We start from the raw sequence: 26547 nt of genomic DNA, 5'->3' as shown, positions 1-26547 counted from the left end.
CAGTCATGTGTCACTTAACAATGGGGATATGTTCTGAGAAGTGCATCCTTAAGTGATTTTGTCATTGTGCAAACATCACAGAGTGTACTTACACAAACCTAGATGGTATAGTCTACCCAGGCCATATGATATAGCCTGTTGCTTTTAGGCTACAAACCTGTACAGCATGTTACTGTATTCAACACTGTAGGCAACTGTAACACAATGGTATTTGTGTCTAAACATATCTAAACAAAGAGCAGGCACAGTAAAAATAATGTATAAGAGATTAAAAAACGGTATGCCTGTATAGGGCACTTACCAGCAATGGTACTTGCAGGACTGGAAGTTGCTCTGGGTGAGTCAGTGAGTAAACTCTTTGCTCTGGGTGAGCAAAGAGTGAATGTGAAGGCCCAGGACATTACTGTACACTACTATAGATTTTATAATAAACACGGTACAATAAGACTATGCTAAACTTATTTTAAAACTTTTCTTTCTTCAGGAATTAATCTGTAACTTACTTTATAAATTTTTTATTTATTATTTTTTTTTTTTACTTTTTGACTCTTATAATAACACTTAGGTTAAAACAACATGTTATACAGCTGCACAAAAATATTTTCTTCTTTATATCCTTATCCTATAGGCTTTTTCCTATTTTTAAATTTTATTTATTATTTTACTTTTTAAACTTTTTTGCTAAAAACGAAGACACAAACACATATATTAGCCTAGGCCCGTAGGTCAGGATCATCAATATCACTGTCTTCCACCTCTACATCTTATTTCCCTGAAAGGTATTCAAGGGCAATAATATGCATGAAGCTGTCATCTCGTACGTTTACAAGGCCTTCTTTATGGAATATCCCCTGTAGGACCTGCCTGAGGCTGTTTTACAGTTAATTTTTTTTTATAAGCAGAGTACACACTACAATGATAAAAATGTATAGTATAGGTAATACATAAGCCTGTAACACAGTTGTTTATTATCAAGTATGATGTACTATACAAATGGAATGTGCTATACTTTTATATGACTAATAGCACAGCAGGTTTGTTTACACCAGCATTGCCACAAGAGTAATGCACTATGCTACCACATCATAATGGTTATGACATTATGATGGCTACAGTGTTACTAAGCCATAGGAATTTTTCAGCTCCATTATAATCTTATGGGACACATTTGTACATGCAGTCTGATGTTGACCAAAACATGGTTACGCAGCACATGACTGTGTCTAGAATGTGACTGCAGTAACAACCCTCACTCACCAAAACTCAGTCTTGCCAGAAGGGCACATAGATGATGCAGCACACATAATGATATTATATTAACTAACTTTAGTTAGGTAACTAATATTAACTAATTTTTAATGGTTAATTATAACGGATAAAATGATGTCACAAGTGCACTGAAGCTCTTTTTTTTAGCCCTTAATTATTACTGCTTTTTCTAAGAGTTTCTCTGAGAAGTTATTTGGAAAGAAGACAGACAATGTGAAAAAATATAATGGCAGAAATTTAAATATGGAAACTATGTTAATGATTCACCGGAGAAACTCAAATGTTATAAATTATTTCCTCAACATAGATGATTAATTTCCAATTTCCAAACACGTTCTCTTGACCAGTCCTTGCAATAATTAAGATAAAACTGAAATGGCTCGTCAGTGTTGATGATAAATTCTGTTTGGAAGATGATATGGTTTGGTTGTGTCCACACCCAAATCTCATCTTGAATTGTAATCTCCGTAATTCCCACATCATGGAAGTAATTGCATCATGGGGGCAGCTTCCCCCATGCTGTTCTCATGATAGTCAGTGAGTTCTCATGAGATCTGATGGTTTTATAAGTTTATGGTATTACCCCTGCTTGCACTCATTCTCTCTCTTCAGCCCTGTGAAGAGGTGCCTTCCGCCATGATTGTTAAGTTTCCTTAGGCCTGCTCAGCCATGCTAAACTGTAAGTCAATTAAACCTCTTTCCTTTATAAATTACCCAGCCTCAGGTATGTCTTTATTAGCAATGTGAGAATGGACTAATACAGAAGACATAAAAATTACTGGTCACTACAAGGAAATATCCCATAATTATTGCCTCAAAGCACATTACTATCTAAACTGAACCTTCATCATTATAACTGGTCTAAAGCTCTGTAAGTTGCAGCACATCTAGCCAATCAATTTTGGCAAGACATGTTATAATTTTCCAGAATAAACAAGTTTGAAAATGACAGCAAAATGAGGGAAAAAGATGGACCCACACTGTCTCTATTTGATATAAATTTTGTATGTCTAAGAAGAGAAAGTTAGGAGACTGGAAAGCAAAATATGTCACTTCCTAGACTCTTCAGCCATGGGAGGTTAAATATCCTGGCTGATAAGAAGGCCCTCTGCTATGCGCACCCTCCTCCTGCTCTCGTAACCTTTGCTTTCTTGTTTTGGGTGCATAATTAGAATCAGTTGAGTCTATTTCCATACTACCTCTTTTCCTTCTATTCCATTCAATGAAAATTTACTAAACACTTAATACGTTGAGACACTGTAATAAGCAAGGTGACTTACCGGTAAACAAAACATGAGTAAAAAATACTGATTCCAAAATTCTAGTTTAACAATTACTTGACATTGAAATTATGTGATTCAAATAAATATATTATTTTTTAGAAAAAAAAACCTAAATAGGAAAGATTCAATAAAGATGAGTAACTCTCAACTGTTAATTTGGTTTGGCAGAACAGCTGTAGATGAATGGGGATACTCAAGGTACCTCAGAGTATCTTAAGTTATCACTCTACTTGATAGATGCCAAACACTAAAATTAATAAAATATGGTTTAGAAAAGAGGTATTACAGAGCTCCAATGAGCAGACTATTCTTAAAAAATTATTTGCCCTAAGACAAATGAAATCAATGTATATTTATGTTTTATGTTAAAATCATTAAACATAAATATAAAACATTAAATGATTATTTACTTACCCTTTTAAATTAACTACTAACTACTGATACCAACCTGGAAACCCCGACACATTCAAAATTACTGGTGAAAGTAAAAAATGGTAGAATCACCATAAAAGGAAATACGATAATATCTAACAAAATTACAAATGTATTTACCCATAACACAACAATCCCACTTTTACAACAAACCAGCACAAGTACAAAATGACACCTGGACAAGATTACTCTTTGTAGTACTGTTAATAGTGGCAAAAGACTGACAATAGCCTAAGAATCCATAAAATAAGGCACTGGTTGAATAACTATGGTAGTTCTTCATCCATGCATCCTACAAAAGGATGAGGAAAATGCCCATTTACTGAGAGAAAAAGATCTGCAAGAAACAGAGCTAAATCAAAAAAGCAAAGTACTGAAGGGTATACATAGTTTCCTGCATTGTATATAACTGGGAGAAATGGGTATTGAAAACATATATATATATATAATATATATAATATAATATATATATTATATATAATATATATTATATATACACACACATAAACATATATTTATATTTGCATATATATTTGCATATTTTTTTGTTTGTGTTAAAAAATTGGAAGAAGAAACAAGAGACTAATAAAAGTAAGGTGGAAAGGTTGGGGTACAGTGGTAGAAGGAACAAGGAATGAGCATGTATATCTTTCCATACAGTTTTGATCTCTGAATTATATACATATGTTACCAATTCAAAATACCATCTTAACAAAATATCTTTTAAAAAATGAAACAGTAATTAAAGTTGTATATAGAATAACATGAAGTTTATTGCTTTGCTTCCATTTATAAGTGAAACAATTTATTTTATACACTGCAATCTCTAAAAGATGATCAAACTTTGCAGTTTCCACCTCCATCTGAGATCTAATTTCTTGTCTGAATTTTTCTCTATATTAGTTGCGTAGCCCTGGCTGGTCCCTTAGTTAAAAAAAAAAAATTAAAAAAATAACCCCAAGGACTTTTGGTGGTGACAGAATACAGATCTCATCTGTCTCCACCAAAGAGACACCTTCTTAAACATGGAAGCAAAGGTAAAGTGACTTGCTATGATTTGTGACTCCAACCTGCATTTTTTTTTTCTCCCTCTCCTCCTTTACAGAAAGTAGAACTTTTTCGACAACATGCATTCAGTTAGTTAATGGACTGTGGGTAGTATGGCAGACAACATAATCATTTAAAAAATAAAATCAACTGCAAATTTTTAAGAGTGGGAATAAGATCATTTACATTTACTCTCCAATGTCTGTTTCTGTTGTAGCACAATAGATGAGTATCATTAAATATGTTTATAGGTTATATGCTCTATCTCGTATGCTAACTCCACATGATTATGGTTCCATAATGGGTACTATCAGTATGCCAGGTTCCAAAAACCTCAACCTCAATCTCTGGAAAGCAATGTAAACACATTTTGTAAATCCTTAACTTCTCTACCATCAAGTCACTAGGTGTGTATGTGTTTACACATGTGTGGTTACATATACATCCTTCCACTGCAAATTATTGTGACTGAGCAGACAATGCTTGAAAACGGAGGTTCAAGAGCTCCTTTATGAAATGAACAAAGAAATACCTACTCCTTACACTGAAGTTCAGCAATCAAAGACTGAACAGTTCTTTTAACATCTGATAACAGTTTAGTGTCAATACAAATTATCAAATACAAATTAACTAATGCCCATCTGACAAGTTTATAAAAACTACCTTACTTTTCAGATGTGTTAACTGAGGCTTGGACATTAAATAAATTAACTTTAGTCACAAATGGGAAGTGAATCCAGAGCTTCAGGCTCTTGAATATTCTACCAAGATAATTGATTTTTGGATATTGCAATTACTTTATTATATGATTTAATTCACAAATATAGAAATAATTCTGTACAACACCAACACCTACAAAGTAGAAGTTTCATTTCATGTCCATGAAAGAGTAAAAAATAATACAAATTTCTCATGTTCTTCTATAATAAAATGTTTTCCATTTCCCTGTATCACAAGATCACCATATTGTCTCCATGAACATTTTTCGAAGACTGTGTTTATGTGTTTATTGCATCTATAAATCCCAAAATCTGTCTCTAAAGCCTCTTTTATCTCTTATTAGTAATTCAAACAAACAGAACAAAACTTCCCTTTATTTATAAAGCATTGTAAACATCAATGTAGCTATTTGGAAAAACTCCCATCAAGATAAAAATCCACACTTTACAGCAGGGTTTCTCAATCTCAGCATTACTTGGGCTAACAATGTTTCATTGTGGGTCAGGGAGGGTTTTCCTGTGCATTATAGGATGTCTGGTAACATCCCTGACCTCTACCCACTGGATGCCAGTATCATTCCTCCAGCTGTAACAACCAAAACTGACCTGGAGGGAGGTTGAGAAGAATAAAGTGTAAAATTCTCATTACTAGCAATCATTAATAAAAGAAAAATCAACTTTCTGTGTAGCTCATTCACTGCTTGAGGTAAAAGCTGGTTCCAATAATTTTTGTTTGGTTTAAAAAAATCTTTTGAGGCTTTCTGTTGTTTTTGTTTATATGATTCCATCATTCCAAACTTTCATGCAGGGTCAAAATACTTATAACTTTTCTGAAAAGAGAAACGTCCTCAAAATAGCCTGGGTGTGGTGGCACTTTGGGAGGTCAAGCCAGGAGGACTGTGAGAGCCTGGGAGTTGGAGACCAGCTTGCACAACAAAGCAAGACCCTGTCTCTATAAAAATTTAAATATTAGCTGGGAGTGGTGGCACCCGCCTGTAGTCCCAGCTACTTGGGTGGCTAAGGCAGGAGGATCACCTGAGCCCATGAGGTCAAGGCTGCAGTGAGCCACGATTGCCCCACTGAACTCCAGCCTGGGAGATGGAACAAGACTCTGTCTCAAAAAATTTTTTAAAAAATGTCCCCAAAATGATTCTTAAGCTGCTAGTCCATCCATCACTGTATATCTATACATCCATGTTTTTCTTCTCAACAAGGACGGCAAAATATAAACCATTCAAATTGATGGCAGCAGCGGGCCATCCAAAGTAGTCACTGCCACTTTGGCAGCCGGGACCGGCTGTGGTGGGGCACGGGTGTGGGTGCAGGTGGGGTTGCAGGCTGTGGATCCTCAGGTGGACTCCAAGGCGAACGGTACCTGGGGCCTGCTGCCCTGGAAGCCCAACCCTGGGATCCACTCAGGTGGGGCCGGGCTGACCTACCTGCAGGCGGGGGAAGAGCACGGTCTGGCATGGAGGGGTCTCAAGGCAGAGTTGGACCCAGGGGTGCTGCAGTTGCGCACAGAGTGAAGGGAGGTGGGCCTGAACGCACAGTGGGGCCGTACTTCAGGGGTGTGGGGTGGAAAGCGGGAGTGGCGCCCGCTTCCCAGACCTGGCAAGCGACTCTGTCGCCGCACCCACCCTGCTGGCGGCTCCAAGTTCCTGCACCTCAGCTGGAGGCTCAGCCCGGGCCACCGACGCTGCAACCCCAGGATCCACCCCACGTCGGAGTGACTGTTCAGCCTGGCGCTCCCGACAACTGGGTTTGGGGCCCGCGATCTGCCCCAGAGGTGCCCCCCGGCAGGGTCTCAAGCTGTGCGAGGAGGAGCCCCAGGCTGCCACCGAGAGCCGGGTCCACAGGGGGAACTTGCGGCAATGTCATCCTTGCCTTGGACGGCAGCCCAGCCCAGCGATGGCCTGGAGCCCTGCTCCAGGCTGCAAGGAGGCAGACAGGATAGCAGAAGCAACTGTGAGAGCAGCAGTGGCAACAGTCTCCTGTGTCCCATGTCCTCAAGGTGGACTGTGCCACCTCCACCCTCGCACAGGTAGCAGGACCTGCTACTAAGTTCGGAGCCGCCATTGCAGCCTCAACCTCGCGCCCCACCATGTCTTGAAAGCCCACAAGCACCTGGCCAAAGGTGCTGCCACTGGGACTCACAGGACTAGCCCTGGGAGCATCGGGTTTGTTTGTGCTGGGTTGGCCAGGGCCACTATGCCACCTGCACCTCACCTGCCACCACTGTGGGAGATGCAGAGAAGGCAGCACAGTCAATGCTGCACACTCTGCAGAGCCAGGGACTGGCGGGAGCTCTGCCCCTTATGAGTTGGTAGGGTGAGAGCTCCCCAGGCACAGCTGCAGCTGCCTGGGTTGTGGCTGTGGGCCTGGGTCTCCTGGTGCTCTCGAGTACCCAGGTGGGTCCCCCATCATCAGCAGACTCAGGGGTATCTGCTCCCATTGCCTGGCCTCTTCCTGGTCCCAGCGTTGTTGTGGCCCAGCCAGGTGTGTGCTGCTCCAGGCAGCACTGACACACCAGCCTCCTGCCACCTTGGCCCTTCTGGACTATGGATGCCAAGTAGGAGAGGGAGGCCAAGATGGAGCTGAATGAGGCTCTGGGCTGGCCTGTGGGTGCTCCTTGGCACGGGTGTGAGCAGCCTGGGTGTGATGGGCAGCAGCAGGATGCAGACAGGTTCCTGGGTGGGAAGGGGCAGGGCAGGTCCCTGGTGAGGCCTCATCTTCAGAACAGGGCAGGCCTGAAGGCTGGGGGCCAGGCTGCCAGCCCTGCGGACCAGAGTGGGGACTTGTGGTGCCTTTACCGCAGGCCCATGGACCAATCGGCATGCACTTCCTCCCCTCTGAGGCTCATAAAAGCCCTGGACTCAGCCAGAGCAGAGCAGAGCCAGTGGAGGGACCGACTGCAGAGAGGAGCTACCCTCTCTGCTGAGAGCTGCTGAGGTCAGGATGATCAACATCAGAGAGGAGTCTACCCTCTTCAGGGCCTCCTCTCTGCTAAGAGCTGCAGACAACAGGATGACCAGCAGCAGAGAGGAGCTACCCTCTCTGCTAAGAGCTGAACATTCGTCGGGACAACCTGCCTGCAGAGAGGAGCCACCCACTCCAGGCCTCCTCTCTGCTGAGAGCTCAACACTCAACGAGATGACCTGCCTACAGAAAGGAGCTACTCACTGCAGGCCTCTTCTGAGCTTTTCTAACTCAATAAAGCTCCTCTTTGTCTTGCTCACCCTCCACTTGTCTATGTACCTCATTCTTCCTAGATGCAGGACAAGAACTCAGGCAAAGGCGCCACTGGCCACAGAGGTTGCTGGTCAGAAAAGCAACAGCCCAAAGATCCCATAACAAAATCAGGCCCAACCTTGGGGAAGGGCTGCAAGAATTTACATATGAAAACTGAAAATAAAATCCAAGTCATCTGTATTCCTTTAATTACTGACAATCTTGTTTGATTAATCAGCACAATCACTCTTGCTAAAGGTTGATTTGGTGAGGATTTTGTAACTATTTACAGCCAGATTTTTTTTTTTAATATTAACTGGATATGACGCTGCAGCATACTGAAAGTTATCGCAAATGCAGGAGGAAGCTTTAATCCCTGTAGAGATCGTCTGGGTAAGTGAGCAAAGGCTCTGACAGTACAGATAATACAATTCAGTTCCAGGCCAAAAAGCTGTATTTGTTTTTGTTGTTTTTCTCCTATCCTATTAGCAGCCTGTCTCCATGGATTTGTCTGGGAAAATAAACAGTAAAGCAAGCAGCCCTCTCCATCCATTAACTCATCCTCCTAGCAAAGATCCCAAGCAAAGCTTTTGGAAAGATCATCTTTTTAAATGCACATGTGTATATTAAGTCAAACTCAAAACCAATGAAAATAAACACAAGAAAATGCACACACAGAAAAATAAGTATTTATACAGACCCTTAATTCCTTGAATCCAAACACATTGGAGAAAAAAAGCCAATGATACTCATCAAATATTTATAAACATATGAAACAGGAAATATAAATATATGAATGACTCCACACTAACCTCTATTAATTAAATTACACTAGATTAGTTATAAACCAGATTTAACTACTAATGGTCATCTTAAGTATAAGCCTTTAAAATCTAATGTTCAAATTGCCCTCCAAATCCAAGAAATAAAAATCTTCAGATTTTATATAGATATTTACTTCATCAAAAGTAAACAGCAAACTCATTTTGGAAAAAAATCAAAATATCAAGAAAAGAAAGCACATAGGAAAAATCTAAACAGAGCTTCTGTGCCTGTGGATACTTTTGGAAGAAGCTTTTATGGTCTGGAAACAGAAAAAAAAAATGTCAATGCTAATGGGAATCAGATATAAAAAAAATTCATTATCCTGTATTTAAGTTTCTACCTTCTACAGTATGTACTTTTAGCCAACCATTCAGACAAAATGATTCCATATCACTATTCTCTCTGATGGAAGAGAAACTGATATGTGAAAGAAGGAAGCAGTTAAGTTTTAAAAGACTCAAATGTGATATGTTAAAAATACTGACTATAAAAGAAATCACATCCTTAAATCAAGAACCATTTTGGTAGCATTTCTGCTTGAGATAGAGAATGCTAATGTCACAGACTCTAACATGTAACTCAAAAGAAGACTGCATCCCTGCTTGAATTTTAATCCCAAGAATCTGAGGATCACATAAAACAAACAAAAATTAACAATTTAACTCAATTATTTTTGTTTTTCTTTATCTCCTTATTTGTCTTTATGAGGACACTATAACTTCTTTTTGACAATTATAGAAAGGAGCAACACCAATATTAAGCTATCTTTTAATTTAACATTTCCAAAATCAAGGAAGAGTAGTTTCCACTCAAAGGGAGACTCTAAAAGATTTTGGAGTCCAGAGTTCTGAATGTATGCATTCATTCAGTCAGCCAGCCATTCATTCACTCAATAGATAATAATTTAAAGCAATTTTATTATTAATAGTGTTCATAAAGTTCTTCTAAAATAGTAAGTATAGCTGGGTGCGGTGGCTCACACCTGTAATCCCAGCACTTTGGGAGGCTGAGGCAGGCGGATCACCTGAGGTCAGGAGTTCAAGACCAGCCTGGCCAACATGGTGAAACCCTGTCTTCACAAAAATACAAAAATTGGCACATGCCTGTAATCCCAGCTACTCAGAAGGCTGAGGCAGAAGAATGACTTGAACCCAGAAGGCAGAAGTTGCAATGAGCAGAGATCATGCCATTGCACCCCATCCTGGGCGACAGGGTGAGTCTCTGTCTCAAAATAATAATAATAATAATAAGAAGAAGAAGAAGAAGAAGAAGAAGTATAATACAAAACTAATACTTGTATAATATTAAAGTATGAATGAAACATCTTCACTATATTACCATAACTGACCTTTTACTCTTTCCTGGCTATCTATATTTGATCTACTATTAAAGGGAAAAAAATAAATTCATGATAAGACATAGAAAGGGAGGCATTTGATGAAGTGACAAAACTTAAGTATAATACAAAACTTGAATCTCTCAATTTTTCCAAACAAGCTCTTTTTCATAGGCTACCATAAGACTTTAATATACAAACTTTATCAGAAATGCCAATATCTTCATTGCTCTGTGGTTTCTGTCTTTCATCAAAGAAAGGCTTAATGAATCATGTTCATCATTCTATTAAATGTAAAATACGAGGGGTGTCCAAAAATATATGGGTCTATGCTACTCAGAAAATATAAAACTCTATGCTAAGTCAGAATACAAGTGTTCATAGGTCTCATATGCTCAAACCAATTTGTACAATCAATTTTCACAGCTATATAAGGCCAAATACATGTTATGAAGATGTGAAAGGTAAAATGAAAAAAAAATACAGGTTGGCTTAAAATTAGAAGCAATGGCTTCAACTTCAAAATGAAAACAGGTAGGCATTTATTACTCCACGGAATCAGCAAGCCATCTCCTTTTGTGTAACATTCTTCTCAGGTTATTCAGAAGCATACTATGTTATGAAAATTTAAATTTTAAATGTCTAGAGTATAAGTTTTCTAACACATAAAATTTTTAAATAAAGTATGGATAAAAAGTATAGTCATCTGATGACACATCATGACAATACTGGAGAAAAATGACATGCTACGGGATAAAGAATAAGGTATCTGGGGAGACAGAAAGTCCTGCCTTACAATACTGCCTTCATTACTTACTAGTTCCTGAATCATGGCAAGCTATTTAATCTCTTTGAGCAGTAATTTTCTCATCTTCAAAATGTAAACAGAGGTACTACTTTGCAGGGTTGTCAGGAGAGTTACAGATTATGTACATAAAGCACGGTGTGCTGTGCCTGGTATAGTGCATGTGCTCAAATAAAAGTGGTAATAATTGTTATTATCTTAGAGTAATATTTCTGGGTTTTTCTGATTTCCCTTTATGTATTCAATTTTGTATTTTATTTTTTACTTCAAATATAATACCTAACAAAATAAACTTGTAATAAAATGCATAAAAGCAAATATTAATTTTCTGTAGATATACCTATAAAATTCAGTATATACATGATAGTTTTGCTTGGATTACATTTTTACTTCTTTGTTTTCCATGAAGAAAATCCTTGCTGCTTACGAGAACATTTGGCTTTTCTCACTGTCTGCCAGAATACAGGTTTAGGTCACAAATGTGAATGTGAAATATCAACTCATGGAAACTTGGCTGCAGAATACTGTTCTCCTTACCAATTTTGCAACTATGTAAGCAGGGCAATCAACTATCACCAAAACACAGTCATGAATATAACTGGAAGGAAGAGAACTTTTATGAGAAATTATTCTTAATTACTTAATGGTGATTAAACTCTCAGCATTACTTCCTCAAGGCCATCAGAGTAGTTAACATGAGCTTTAATCTTAGTGTTCGTTTTGCTATTCAGTAAATATATTACTGAACTACCTTCTACTAAACACATATCACCCCCAAGAAAAAACTACATGTAGCTAAAGTGAGAAGTTAAAAACAGAAAATACTAACTTTCTCAATGAAGAACAGAGAAAACAAATTAAAAGATATACAATTTAGCTCAGCAAATTATTTGCATTTTGAATTAGCAAAATATAGCCAGCAAGTGAAAAGCTGATGCTTTCTAAATTGATTAATATAGTTAATAAGAAGGCAGGTTTATTTCATACTAACTGCTACTATGTGTTCCAGGTACCTGAATATACCAGTAAATACGACAAAAATCCTTGCTCAAAATAGACAAAAATGCTTCCCTTGCATTAGAGCAATGGGAGACAGACAATAATAAATACTGTGTATAAGTAAACTATGTGGTAATAATATTCACTACACTACACTAATAAGCACTCAGAAAAAAACAGCTGAGTAGCATAAAAGGAGGTATGGAGAATCAGAGTGAGAAAATGGGTTGGAGCACCTACAGTGTCAGATGATTGATATAATCTTTTCCTATGAGGCTCAATATTATTATTGCTTCAGATAAGAGAGATCTATCATATGAGTATTTCTTAGTTCTAACAATTACTAATACCTTTCTATAAGCCATATTATAATTAGTAATAAAGGGCCAGATGGTACACATTTTCAGCTTGTCAGCCATACCGTCTATATAGCACTATTCAACTCTCCCATTGCAGTGTGAAAGCACTCACAAGAGAAAAAAAATGAATGTGGCTGTGTTCCAATAAAACTTTATTTCTAAACACAGGCATAGAGCACAGTAGTTTTCCAATCTTGGCTTAGTTTAGCTAAATGCCTTAATTCTAATGTTAAATTTTCCTGGGAGTATAGAGATAAACTTATCATCTATTTCCTAGTGTTTAACTTCAATTCTAATTGTCTAACAAGCAAAGATAAAACATAAATACAACAACCGACACACATATACCACTTCAACCTCCCTCTACCCTCCTCCATCTTCCCTCTTTCTCTTTTTCCCCTCTGTCTTTACCCAAATCACTTAGTAATATAATGCAATCATCAAAGACTGAATTCTGGTTTATAAATGCAGTAGCAAAAGGACATCAAATTATTAAATACACAATTCAAAGACATTAAGTCTGATACAGAATTTAAGAATAAACCTTATAAAGTTGTTAAACTCAAAATGTCAGGCCTCTACTAGCCTCTAAAAAAACACACATATTTAAAAAAAAATGCGTTAAGCCCCAAACTATAGAATTAAAGAGGCTGAACTCTTAGAAATTCCCAAAATATCCTAAACATTCATAAAAATATAATTTTGCTCACCTTCTCCAACATTAGCATTCTATTTTCTTCAACTTTCTACTTAGATAGAATATACTATACTTTTATAAAATCCTATGACAAATATTCTTTTTTGTACTCTAATACAAAAAAAAAAGTTCCGGAATCAAGATTTCCAAAAGGCACTCGTTTTACAACTGGCTTATCATTGTCTTTTTCATAACAAAACATACCTCTGACTAAGTCTGTCATCAAATATCTTGATGTAAACAGAAACAACATGTAACTTTTAGGCCATAAATTGTACTGGCATAACAAAAAGGTAAACATTATTACTTGGTATGAAACATAATTATTGATACAAGGCACTGGTCTGGTTTACCTGCACTGTCCCTTCTAGGAGACAGGAGTATAATCTAGCTTTTTTTTTTAAGTACATTTTCATAATTTTAGTTATATTTATGAAAATTAGATTAGAAACTGTCAATACACACATAACTGATTTTTGTTGCTGAATAAATTCTCTAAAAGATTTACATGTAAAATATCTAGTTAGCCAAATTTTTATTAAGAAATCAAATTCTCTAAGAATCTCTCCAGCACTAAAATTCTACTTATTTCTGACCCGAAACTTGGGAGTAATGATGGCAGCAGCGGCCCGTCTGGAGCGCGGCTGTGAGGACGCCCGCTGCACTGGGTAGGTGCGGCTAGAGTTGCAAGCTCTGCCAAGCCGTCAAGGCTGCGAACGGGCAGGAGCCCTGGCCCCTACTGAGTTGGGAGGGCGGGGCTCACTGCAGTTGTCCAGCCGTGACTCTGCACCCAGGCATCCTTGTGTTCTTGGGGGCCTGGGAAGCCCTCCTGCCCCTGCAGGCTCAGAAGTGACTGCTCCTGCTCCCTGGCCACTCCGATTGTGGCGCAGGCTCTGGGCAGAGCAAAGTTGTGGCCAAGCCTGGGTGCTGTCACAACTCAACTGGGTGTGCCTGTGCTCAGGGAGACACTGAGATGCCAGCCCCCAGCCACCTTGAACCCCTCTGGACTTTGGGCACTGGTGAGCATGGGAGGGAGGCTGAGGAGGGCTGAGGGTGGTTTGCCATAGGGCTTCAGGCACTCCTTGGCACAAACAGCCTGGGGGCCATGGATGGCACATTCCTGGTGACAGAAGGCAGACAGGCTCCTGGGTGCAAAGGGGTGGGTCCCTGGTGAAACCCCACCTTCAAGACATGGACAGCCTGAAGCCTGGGGGCTGGGCTGCCAGTTCCATGTGGAGACCTCGGCCCAGAGTGAGAACTTAGGGTGCTTTCACTGGGCCTGCCCATGGCCACCCATGGACCAATCAGCATGCACTCTGTCCCTTCTGAGCCCATAAAATCCCCTGGACTCAGCCAGACTTGGAGAGACTTCAGGACTACTAGCTGCAGAAAGGAGCTACCTATGTTGGGTCTCCTGAGAGCTGTTCTGTTGTTCAATTAAAGTCCTTTCCACCTTGCTCACCCTCCAGTTGTCCACATACCTCACTGGTCCTGGACACGGGACAAGAACTCAGGACCCACCAAATGGAGGGACTGAAAGAGCAGTAACACAAACAAAGCTGAAAAACACCCCCAACCCTGACTTGCCACATTGAGGGTGATGAGAAGGAGAAGAGTTGCAGCCCTCTGGGGAGCCCAGACCTAGGGGCTCCCTGAGGCAGGGCTGTGACACCCTCTTTGGGGCTCTGGTTCCTGGCTTCTCCAAGCTTCTGGGCACCACTGTGTTCCCCTCGTCCAGTCACGGGTGCACAGAGTGGAAGATGTGTGCAGTACATCTGGTCCAGCCACAGCCTTGCATGGAGCCAGCACCTGTTATCAGTGTGTGGAGCTGCCCACCCCATGCAGCAGCTTGTGTGCCTGACTGTGCATAGTGGCAGGAACCTGGGCTCACTTGCCCACACAACCCTCACCGCTCCACGCCTCGCTCGCCCTTGGCAGGTGTGGGATTAAGGCCAGTAGCACGAGCAGAGTGCAGCCTGCTGGGCTGAGTGGGCAGAACAAGCTCAGTGGGTGCGAGCAGTACTCAGGCAGAAGGAGCCACTGGCCATGGAGGTTTCCAGCTGGTGAAGCAACACTCCAAGTCCCCTTCTTTGCTGAGGTAGTTCTGAGCCCACTGAGGCAATAACAATGCAGGTCTGTGTAAATGGGTTGTAAAAGATAGTCAAAGGTTGGTAAAAGAGCGGAGAAGCAGGAGGCCTTACCTCCAAGTGAAAAGAAACTGTTGCTGAAGTATAAAGCTGACATTTTCCTTTGTGTTCCGAATTAAACAATTTTTTTTAGGGTGGTTTGGGTATACCCCACATATTGTAAAATTCAATCTCTTTACTTTTACAGCTAGAAGGGTTCTGACAAATACAGGCATACCTCCAAGATACTGCAGGTTCAGTTCCAGACCACTACAATAAAGCTAATATTGCAATAAAGCTAATATCACAATAAAGCAAGTGACAAGAATTTCTAATTTACCAATATATATAAAAGCTATGTTTACAGTATATGATAGTCTACTAAGTATGCAATACCAATATGTATGGGGGAAAAATATATATACCTTAATTTAAAAATCCTTTATTGCTAAAAATGCAAATGATTATCTAAGCCTTCAGCAAGTTATAATCTTTTTGCTGGTGGAAAGTCTTGCCTTGATGTTGATGACAGCTAACTGATCAGGGTGGTAGTTGCTGCAGGCTGGGGTGGCTGTGGCAATTTCTAAAAAAAAAGACAACAATAAAGTATGCCACATCGACTGACTCTTCCTTTCATGAAAGATATCTTTGTAGCATGTAATGCTATTTGATAGGGTAAACCACAGTAGAACTTCTTTTAAAGATGGAGTCAATCCTCTCAAACCCTGCTGTTTTAACAACTAAACTTACACGATATACTAAATCCTCAGTTACCATTTCAACAATATTCACAGCATCTTCACCAGTAGATTCCATCTCAAGAAATCACTTTATTTGCTCAGCCATAAGAAATAACTCCTCATCCATTCTAATTTGTTCATGAGATTGCAGCAATTCAGTCCCAACTTCACACTCCACTTCTAATTCTAGCTCTTTTGCTGTATCTACCTTATCTGTAGTTACTTCCTCCACTGATGTCTTGAAGCCCTCAAAATTATCCCTGAGGGCTGGAATCAACTTCTTCTAGACTCCTGTTAAAGTTGACGTATTTTCACCTCCTCCCATAAATCATGAATGATCTTCATGGCATCTAGAATGGTGACTCCTTTCAAGGAGGTTTACTTTGCCCATATCTACTATTACAGCAGCAATAGCCTTAAGAAACGTATTTCTTATATCATAAGACTTGAAAGTCAATATTACTCCTTCATCCATAGGCTGCAGAATAGATACTGTTTTAGCAGACACAAAAACATTAATTCTCCTTGTGCATTTCCATCAGAGCCTTGAGTAACCATGTGCATTGTCAATGAACAGTAACATCTCAAAAGGAATCTTTTTTTTTCCTCAGCAATAGGTATCGACAGTGAGCTTCAAATATTGAGAAAACTGTGCCGTAAACAGATGTGCTGTCAACCAGGCTTTGTTTTTCCATTGATCGAGCACAGGCAGAGTAGACTTAACATAACTGTTCAGAACCCTAGGATTTTCAGAATGGTAAATGAGCACTGGCTTCCACGTAGTCACCAGCTGCATTAGCCCCTAACAACAGAGTCACCCTATCCTTTGAAGCGTGAAGCCAGGCATTAATTTCTCTTCTCTAGCTATGAAAGTCCTAGATTACCATCTTCTTCTAATATAAGGCTGTTTTTGCTACATTAAAAATCTGTTGTTTAGTTAACCACCTTCATTAATTATCTTAGCTAGATTTTCTGTATAACTGGCTACGGCTTCTACATCAGCACTTGCTGCTTCACTTTACATTTTTATGTTATGCAGATAGCTTCTTTCCTTAAACTTAATGACCCAAGTTCTGCTAGCTGCCAACTTTTCTTCTGCAGCTTCCTGACCTTTCTCCGCCTTCACAGAATTGAAGAGCATTAGGGCTTTGCTCTGGATTAGGCTTTGGCTTAAGAGAATGCTGTAGTTGGTTTGATCTTCTATCCAGATCACTAAAACTTTCTCCATATCAGTAATAAGGCTGTTTTGCTTTCTTATCATTCATGTGTTCACTGAAGTAGCACTTTTAATTTCCTTCAAGAACTTTTCCTTAGCATTTACAACTTGGCTAAACATTTGGTGAAAGAGGCCTAGCTTTTGGCCTCTCTCAGCTTTTGACATGCCATTCTCATGAAACTTAATCATTTCTAGCATTTGATTAATGTGACAGATGTGAGACTCTACCTTTAATCTGAACATCTGGAAATCATTGTAGGGTTATTCTTTGGCATAATTTCAGTACTGTTGTGTCTCAGGGAGTAGGGAGGCCCAAAGAGAGGAAAAGAGACAGAAAAATGGCTGGCTGTTGGAGCAACCAGAACACAAAACGTTTATTTATTAGGTTTGCTGTCTTACATGGGTGTGGTTTATGGTGTCCTAAAACAATTACAATAATAATGTTAAATATCACTGATCTCAGATCAAGATAACATAATAATAATAATGAGGAAGATTGAAATATTACAAAAATCACCAAAATGTGAAGTGAGAATATGCTGTTGGAAAAATGGCACCAATGGACTTGCAGGGTTACCACAAATACTCAATTTATAAAAAATACACTACTTGCAAAGTGCAATAAACCACAATATAACGAGGTATCCCTGTATATGCAGTCCTGTAATCACCACTACAGCCAAGATATAGAATATCTACATCATTCCAAAAAGTTTCCCATTGCTGCTCTGTGGTGAAATTTCCTCCCTCAGATCCCCGAACTGATTTCTGTCCCTGCAATCCTCACAATGTCAGTATAGTGTATAGTCTTTTATATCTGACTATTTTTACTTAGCATAATGCTTTTGAAATTTATCCATCTTTGCATATATCAATAATTTGTTCCTTTTCATGACTGAGTAGTATTTCACTGTATGGACATGTTGCAACTTATTTATTCATTCACGTAGGTAGACATTTGGGTTGTTTAGGTGTTATAAATAAAGTTGCTATAAACATTACAAACAGGTCTTTGCTGGACAATTTATTCATTTTTCTTGGGTAAATACCTAGGACTGAGATTGTCGGATACTATGTTAAATATATATTTAACTATATGTAAGAAACTTGTGTATTTTTAAAAATGAAACAGTATCACTTAAATTATGAATAAAGCTACTACACTGGCTGATGATACGTCATAATTTTTTTAAGAAAGAACAAACACACACCGTACTTCTAAACTTGCACAATTAAACAAGGAATGCACTAGTATTGTGTAAAATACATGTAAAGTGCTCATATTTGACTAAAATTAACTAGACATCATATGTAAAACACATAGCATAGACTTAATGCATACTGCATACCTAATGACTGCTAATTCTCCACTGTTCAACTTTCCTTTTTCCCAGTGCTCTCCGCTCCCCAGTCCTCAACTCACACAAACCCACACTTAAATTTGAATCATTATTTGTTAAATCAGTTATAAAAGAGGACACACTCTCTTGCTTTTCTTCAACTATTATCTCTTAAAGCAAAGCCAGTTTCATTCATTTCTTTAAGCTGCTCTTTGGATAAATAAGGGGGAGCCTCTAAACGCAGTAGAGCCTGTACTCAGGAAACATTTCAGGTGAACATCACCATCTTGTGTCAAAAAAGAGTAACTGCAATACCAAAGTTATCAAATAGAAAACAGAGAAGTCAAAATGTATGAAGGTTCATTTTTTTCCAAACTTATTCTGACGCATGTGTCAATTAAGTGTTGCAAAGCTTAAACTCTTCATGTTTTATGAATTTAATGCATTAAAATTTCAAGCTAGATTGTGTATATCATAAAGGAACTAGGTTTTCTATTACAGGCCCCTTCAGATACTTTTTTGACACCACACACACACACACACACACACACACACACACACACACAGAATGCCAGGAACAAAATGACACTTCATTATTGTTAATACTCTTTATGTACTTTAAAATTAGCCACCAAATTGCCCTTCTACTAGTGACTTTAAAACATTCAACATATAGTCCCAGATTTAGGTTTTGGCTACACTGAACATTCGTTCTCAAACATGAGATTCTAGGAGCATTAACAATAGAAGACAAGAAGCTTTTTCAAATTTATAAGTGATTCAACTTTAATCATACAGTTAGATATTTCTATTCTAACTCAACATTATTTTTACATTCATATTCATTAAAAAATAGTTAAAAGTATATTAAATAGAACCAAAATATTGCAGGCTAATCAGACATCTGTGAAAAAAGAAAATATGCTGCTCAACAAGTTCTCCTTTTTCAAAGAGTAATAAATTTTAAATGAAAAAGTTAAGGTGTACTTCAACTGTCAAGCAAGGTTTTTATTACACAACAACAGCCTTAAAGGCTGATTGATTGCTTTTTCTTTTTTTTTTTTTTTTTCTGAAAATCACATGGTTAATCACTTTTGCACACCTGGATAATATCTGCTTGCTTTATGATCTGTTTGAAGAAATAAACGTTACAGTAACAAGAAAGTCTGGGAAGGTGGTACCTAAAAAGAAACAAAACAGAAAACAAAAAACAAAAACCTCAGAAACTTGTTTGGTAAGTAACATCCTTTTATATAACATTGATAATCTCTATTCTTGTCTGTCTCTGTGTCACAAAAGAAGATAATTGTAGAGCTTGAATGATATATCAAAGATTATCTAGTACATTTTTCACAGGTACAGAAACAGATGCTCAGTGAGGATAAATTATTTCAAATAATACACAGTCTGTTAATAACACAGCTAGCATCAGAAACTAAGATCTCTGCAACCATCTGTCTGCCTTTACTCTTCCATTGCTTGTTTCTGTTAGTTTTGAGCTTTCCTATCACACTCTGTATAAGGCACTCTGGCCCCTATCATATTTATCCTCTGTTACAGGTGTCAAATCTCATTTTCCTCCAGACCCATTTCCTCAGCTACATTGCTGGCATTATGCAAAAGCTCCTTTCCAATGTTGTGCACTCTCAAAAAATTCATCCAGAAATACTAAGGTTTGGGAAGGTCTGTGCCCAAAGCACTATAAGCAAAAAGTTCAAAGAAGAAAAATACAAAACTCCTCATACAATAAGTCTAATATCACAAATTCATGAAACGGCAACTATAAAGAGCAAAGTATTCAGAAAATTAAGTACATATTTCAGCATTGTCTTAAAGCTAAAAGAAATTAAAATAGCTGGTTTTAAATATCTATGGAGTTCAAACTAGATTAGTGTTGAACTCTTCACCTTATCAGTATATATATAATAAAACTTTGGTTATGAATTTATCTGAATTTCAATGAATGAATATAAGTCTGCTCACTCTTATCTATTTCCACCAAAGAAAGCAGAAAGCATTTCTTTACCCAGATAGTATTCTTAATAGCAGAATTTTACTTTCATCTGTTCTTCCTCCATAAATAATCTCAACCATCTAGTTTCTCTTTAGGAGTTCTCTTTGGTAACTCTTCAGAACATCCCCTAATTATCTCCATGTCAATTAAATGTTCCATGAAGTTCACCTAGATTGGGGATCTTGAACTAGATACTTTAAACAATTTTTCAAAAAGAAAGCTATATAAATTCTTCTTGGTATTTAAGATATATAGTGCCTTTGCTATCAATGAATAAAGAAATACATAGAGAATGACAGAAACAAGATCCCACAGTTGACAAGTTGGGAAGATTAATCAAATCTAATAAGATGAATTTAGTAAGAATAAATTCCTCTATTCCTATGGCCTAAAGCCTTTGTAGCCATAGCCATGGAAATAATTGGGAAATCACTTGGACTTAAAGAAAAGAATATCTGGGAATCATGTGAAAAGTAGGAGAAACTTAGAGGAGCTAATTTTGGAGGATAACTTCTATATCTGGTATATATTGTGCCTCAGTTGCTGAAACTTAAATCAAATTAACTGCACAAGCCCAAGGCGTGAAAACTATTATTTAGCAGACTTTGAAGAAAGACCTGGGCTTTTCACCTTTGTTGTTGTTCCTGATGACTTTATTCAATAGCAATCTCAATGTGCAGCTGACAACAAAGCTAACAAAATCCTGGAATGCATTAGGAGAAGCAAGGTATTCAGGGTAGAGGCAGCAGGAGTCTCACTAAGTTGTGTACTGATAGAACACAACCAATCAATATATATTTGTTGGTGGATGTTACAACTTCAGAGCAAAAAGGACAAATAGTTCACAAGAAAAAGATGAGAATGCTTTAGACGGAAAAACAATGGCATATGAAATAATCCAAAATGTCAAGCCTGAAAAACAAAAGACTGGTTAGTGAGATAAAGTGTAAAGACAAGATAACTAACAGTTTTAAAAAATAAAGGAACACCATATAGAAGAAGGATTAAAAACTGTTCTTTACAGACTTTGGAATAAAATCAGGTAGAGGTATAGAGGGTTTAGGGAGACAAACAGCTGCTTGTTCATCGGATTAAAGAACTTCTTAATAGTCTGACACAAAAATGAAATGGTCTATTTCGTGAATTAATAGTTCCCCATCAGTGTGGGTGAATAAGCAAAGGATGAAGAAATGATGGGTTGGGATTTTACAACAGGTGTCAGTGTATCAGATGGGTCATCTAGACCATGGAGCCTTCTATGTCCTCTCCAGTCTTGAAAAACCAAATTTCTTTTAGACCTTGGGTATTGACAGCAACATGTATTTTATTATGGTATTACTTTCTCTAATATTAAACATACTTCAATTCACGTTGACAACATCAAATATTATTTACTAAACAAATATATCTAAACACAGAATCTTTCAAAATTTAGAAATCTAAGCCTGAAAATCCCAATGTTGCTAAATACTAAAAAGGGCATACAACTCATAACTACAAAAAGCTAATAACCAATGGAACTTTAAGATTCAGGTGGCATGAATAAATATTTACATTACTCATGTAATAACAATTGTAGATTTATGAGTTTTCGGGAGTCAGTTGGAAAAAATAAGTATTTAGTGGAAGAAAATGTATTTTAAAAAATTAAAGATTAAGAGAGCTTTCAAGAGGGGATGGTGTATGCTTGAAATAAGTTAATTCAGCCTCCCTACTATTATTTAAGTTCAGTATTATATTTTTTACTCAAATACGACTTATAATGTATCTTCAGAAAACGTACGTGTTAAACATTTTAAACAATCTTTAAAAAAAAAAACTCTGTGGCTCATTCAACTCAAAATGAATTAAAGACGAATAAAGAGCTAAAACTGAAAAACTACTGAAAGAAGTTATAGGGAAAATGTTCCATGACACTGGCCTGGACAATAATTTTTTGAACATGACCTCAAAAGCACAGACAACAAAAGAAAAAATAGACTAATGGGATTACATGAAGCTAAAAAGCCTCTGCACAGCAAAGGAAACATTCAACATAGTGAAGAGACAACCTATAAAATGAGAGAATATGTTTGTAAACCAAACCTGATAAGGTGTTAAAATCTAAAATACCAAAATTTATAAGGAACTCAACAGCAACAAATGACCTGATTAAAAAATGGGCAAAAGACCTGAATAGACATTTCTCAGAAGACATACAAATAGCCAACAGGTATATTTTTTAAGTGCTCAACATCACTAATCATCAGAGAAATGCCAATGAAAACCACAATGAGATACCATTTCATACCTGTTAGAATAGCTATTGTCAAAAACATGAAAGATAAATGTTGGTGAGGATGTGGAGAAAAGAGACCCCTTGTACACTGTTGGTAGGAACATAAATTACTTCAGATATTAGAGAAAATAGTGTGGAAGTTCCTAAAAAATTTAAAATAAAACTATCTTATGATCCAGCAATTCCACTATTGAGTATATATCCAAAGGAAATGAAATCAGTATGTCCAAGAGACATCTGCACTCCATGTTCACTGCAGCATTATTCACAATATCCAAGTCATGGAATCAACCTAAGTATGCATCGAAGAATAAGCGGATAAAGAAAATGTGGTATGTATACAGAAGGTAATCCTATTCAACCTTTATTAAAAGGAAATCCTGTCATTTGTGACAATATGGATCAACCTGGAGGACATTATGCTAAGTGAAATAAGCCAGACAAAGAAAGGCAAATAGTGCATGATCTTGCTTATATGTGGAGTCTTAAAAAGTTGAACTCACAAAAGCAGAAAGTAGAATGGTGGTTATCAGGGCCTGGAGGTCTAAGGGAGTTGGGAAGATATTGGTCAAAGGATACAAACCTTCAGTTAAACAGGAGAAATAAGTTCAAGAGGTCTATTGTACTGTAGGGTGACTATCGTTAACAATATATTGTATACTTAAAAATTACTAAGAGAGTTGGTTTTAAGTGTCCTCATCACAAAAAAATAAGAAGTATGTGAAGTAATGCACATGTTAAATAGCTTGATCTAGCCATTCCACAATGAATACACAATTATCAAAACAACATGTTGTACTCTATAAACAGATACAATTTTTATGTCAATTAAAATAATCTTTTTTAAAAAGAAACAAAAACGTGAGGTTCATATATGAACAACAGACATTAAAGGCTACTAATCTTCTAAAAACTTACAAGGACAAATCAAGAGTCAGGAAACTTTTTCTGCAAAGGTCTAGAGTATATAATTTAGGCTTTATAGGCCATAAGTCTGTACTGTAACTACTCTACTACAGTAGTGCAAAAGGAGTAACAGACAAAACATAATCAAATTAGTGTGGATGTGTTCTAATAAAGCTTTATTTATGAGGACTGAAAGCTGAATTTCATATAATTTTCATATGTCACAAAAAACCACTTTTAAAGTATTTTCCTAATCATTTAAATATGTAAACACTATTCTTAGACAATGGGATATGCAAAACCAGTTGGTGGGTCACGTTTGGCCTAAAGGCCATGGTCTGCCAACCCTTGAGATAAAGCGTCTTTATCTTATGAACATCGAAATGAAGTAAGACCCACATATGCATACAACCTCTCACCAGTCTCTCTTCTCTGATCTCTCCCAATTCTCTATCCCCAAAGCCAAAACTTGGAAGGGGCTGCCATAGAAGATAAGAATAATAACTGTCATAGAAGTTAAAACACCTGGAGTTTTAAAAACAAACAAAAGAAGAATCCAGCAACAATAACAAAAACACTTATGAGAGTCTTGTGTAAAGATGGCAAAGCTGAAATTGGAAAACAACCGTACAGGACGCTTTCCAGCTTTAATCTTAATATGGCTCACCAAAGACTATTCACATCATTTTGATAAACAATGTGAAAGATTAATAGGCATCCATTCCTTAAATACTTTTGGGAAAGTAAAGAATTATGATTCATTTGAACTATTAATGTCAATTAGTCCTTGCAGCTTTTTTTTTTTAGTTCTGACTTAGCTAAGAAGAGTAATATTAGAAGAGCAATAGTTATAACTAGGAAAAATGGAGAATGAAGAAACATTTGTAGCCTTTCTTCTGAGGGTATTTTTGGAATACTAGTCATTTGAATATCGAAAGATACGTATATTTAGCTTTTTATTTGTGGACATTCCTAAATATTGTTAATTAACTTTTCCCCATGTCATAAAACTTTCTAGAAAACTAAATTTTAAGCTGGATGCTGTGGTGCACACCTATAATCTTAGCTACTTGGGAGGCTGAGGCAGGAGATTGCTTGAGTCCAAAGGTTTAAGGCTGCACAACTTAATGATCTGTGAATAGACACTGCACTTCAGCCTGGCAAAACAGCCAGACCTGCATCTCAAAACAAACAAACAACAAAACCCAACTTCAATTTGCAACAATGTAAGAAAACAAAATGTTATGTCTTATTTAGCTCATTAAGCACATTTCCTCTTCCAGAAAAACTGTAAGGAAAATTAATGCCAATTTACTACCTCCATGAGTCTAACACAACAATAGAAAATAATCCTGAAACCAAAATTATTTAAGACTTCTACATATCTTTCACAATTTTTCTCAATTGGGCAATCTTTTCCATAGATGGCTTAAAGTAAAATTTTTGAAGTCCTTCAAATTTCCTACTACAAGAAAACTAGGTTTATACGCTAGGGATAATGCTTATAATTTAATAGTTCTTATTAGGAGCTTGTTATATAGTAGGTATCCGTACTAAAAGTACCCAAATAAACTGAATTCAAAGATATTCACAGAATTAAAACTATTTTGAGGCATGCTTATCACCCGAGAAAGAAGACATGATCATGTTTTCCTTAAGATTCAACACAAATGTATAAAATGTCATGGACTGGACACTTCTAAAGGGGCCACACAGCAGTTGTTAACAATGAACAACATAAATTCCAAAAGTTTGGGCATTTAACTATTATTTGGGCATCATTAATAAATTAGTTGTTTGTTTCTAAACTCTCCTGATGCTAAGCAAATCCAGACCATCAGCAATCAATCTAAAGACAATGAGCCTACTTGATATCACACAATCTCATTAATCTTCATCTGTCCTACCGCATCCTATCACTCTTACGCAAAATGAACACTAGAGGACTCAACTTCAACTTCTCTTCACTATCTAAGCAGGAGGTAGAAAAAAGCCTCGGGGACTTAGGGACATCACAAGCAATTATTTCACCAGCCTAGTGTGCTACATCACAGCAAATGAGTCTGACATGTAAATGTGACATAGCAAGGAGTAAAATAACGCAGTTCTTGAGCTATGTGTCTCACTGTCTTTGCTAAAACACCAGAATCCCCAAGAAACTTTGGCTTTAGTCTCCCCAGAAGACATGAAACTGAAATACTGTCAAAAAGAGACACTAAATATGCACAACACATGGGTAACATAATGATATCAATTTCACTCCTGTGACAGTCCAGGAATTCTCCTTGTTTTAACATACTAACCTAAAATCATCATAACATAGAGGTTGTGGGGTAAGAGGCAACAAGATTGTAAAATATGCTAGCTAATTTAAAAGGCCAAATGCCTGGATTTAATGTAGCCAAAATTACACTATATATATCAATTTCTTTGACCCTACAATGATCTTTTTTTTTAATCAGTTTTAGCCTAAAAACATAAAATGTACTTTAACTCTTCGTCGCCTCTTTTATTCCTACTACAGTTTCTTCCAGACAATAAAGATGGTAAAAACTGTGTCTTTACTTCATAACAGGATGTTGTTGTTTTAATTGTCCTTAAAACTGTTTTGTTTCTACCAGCACATTCATGGCACAGTTTGAACATTACGTGCTAATCATACAAGTGTGGAAACAACTTTATAGTACTATTAAACAATATAAGTAATGTTCCACAGTAGTTCTTCAGAGAAAAAGTATCTGGAAAGGAAACAGACTTAAAATTTTACTGCATATTCTCTTGTATTTCACAAACTTTAGAGAACTTGACAAGGACATACACTTTTGATACAGTATATATCATCTGAGTAGTAACAAAAGTATAGTTAAAAAAAATTCATGTTCCACAGGGAGTTCTACCTGAAAGAGAAATGAATTAAATATTAAACTT

General features: G+C 37.4%; 1 protein-coding gene across 17 annotated transcripts in view; it reads right to left on the bottom strand.

Moving 5' to 3' along the window:
• AFG2A (AAA ATPase AFG2A) overlaps nucleotides 1-26547 on the bottom strand; it is a 396356-nt gene that overhangs the window by 197648 nt on the left and 172161 nt on the right. For 5 of the 17 annotated variants that reach the window (XR_007096375.1, XR_007096376.1, XM_017007827.3 and 2 more), the window contains one exon: nucleotides 19181-26516. The exons of 8 other annotated variants lie outside the window; for them this stretch is intronic. Coding sequence is in view for 7 of the 9 variants with exons in the window: in XM_017007827.3 (XP_016863316.1) it covers nucleotides 26457-26516 (60 nt within the window). In the remaining 2 variants the exon portion in view is untranslated. Of the gene's footprint in view, nucleotides 1-12437; nucleotides 15709-19180; nucleotides 26517-26547 lie in introns of those variants that run through there. 4 more of the 17 variants (XM_047449692.1, XM_011531679.4, XM_047449697.1 and 1 more) reach the window with 2 other exon arrangements.

This window comes from Homo sapiens, chromosome 4 (assembly GCF_000001405.40).
Source record: "Homo sapiens chromosome 4, GRCh38.p14 Primary Assembly".
Taxonomy (NCBI): domain Eukaryota; kingdom Metazoa; phylum Chordata; class Mammalia; order Primates; family Hominidae; genus Homo; species Homo sapiens.
The sequence above is the reverse complement of the archived record's forward strand: the minus strand, read 5'-3'. Positions and strand labels throughout refer to the sequence as shown.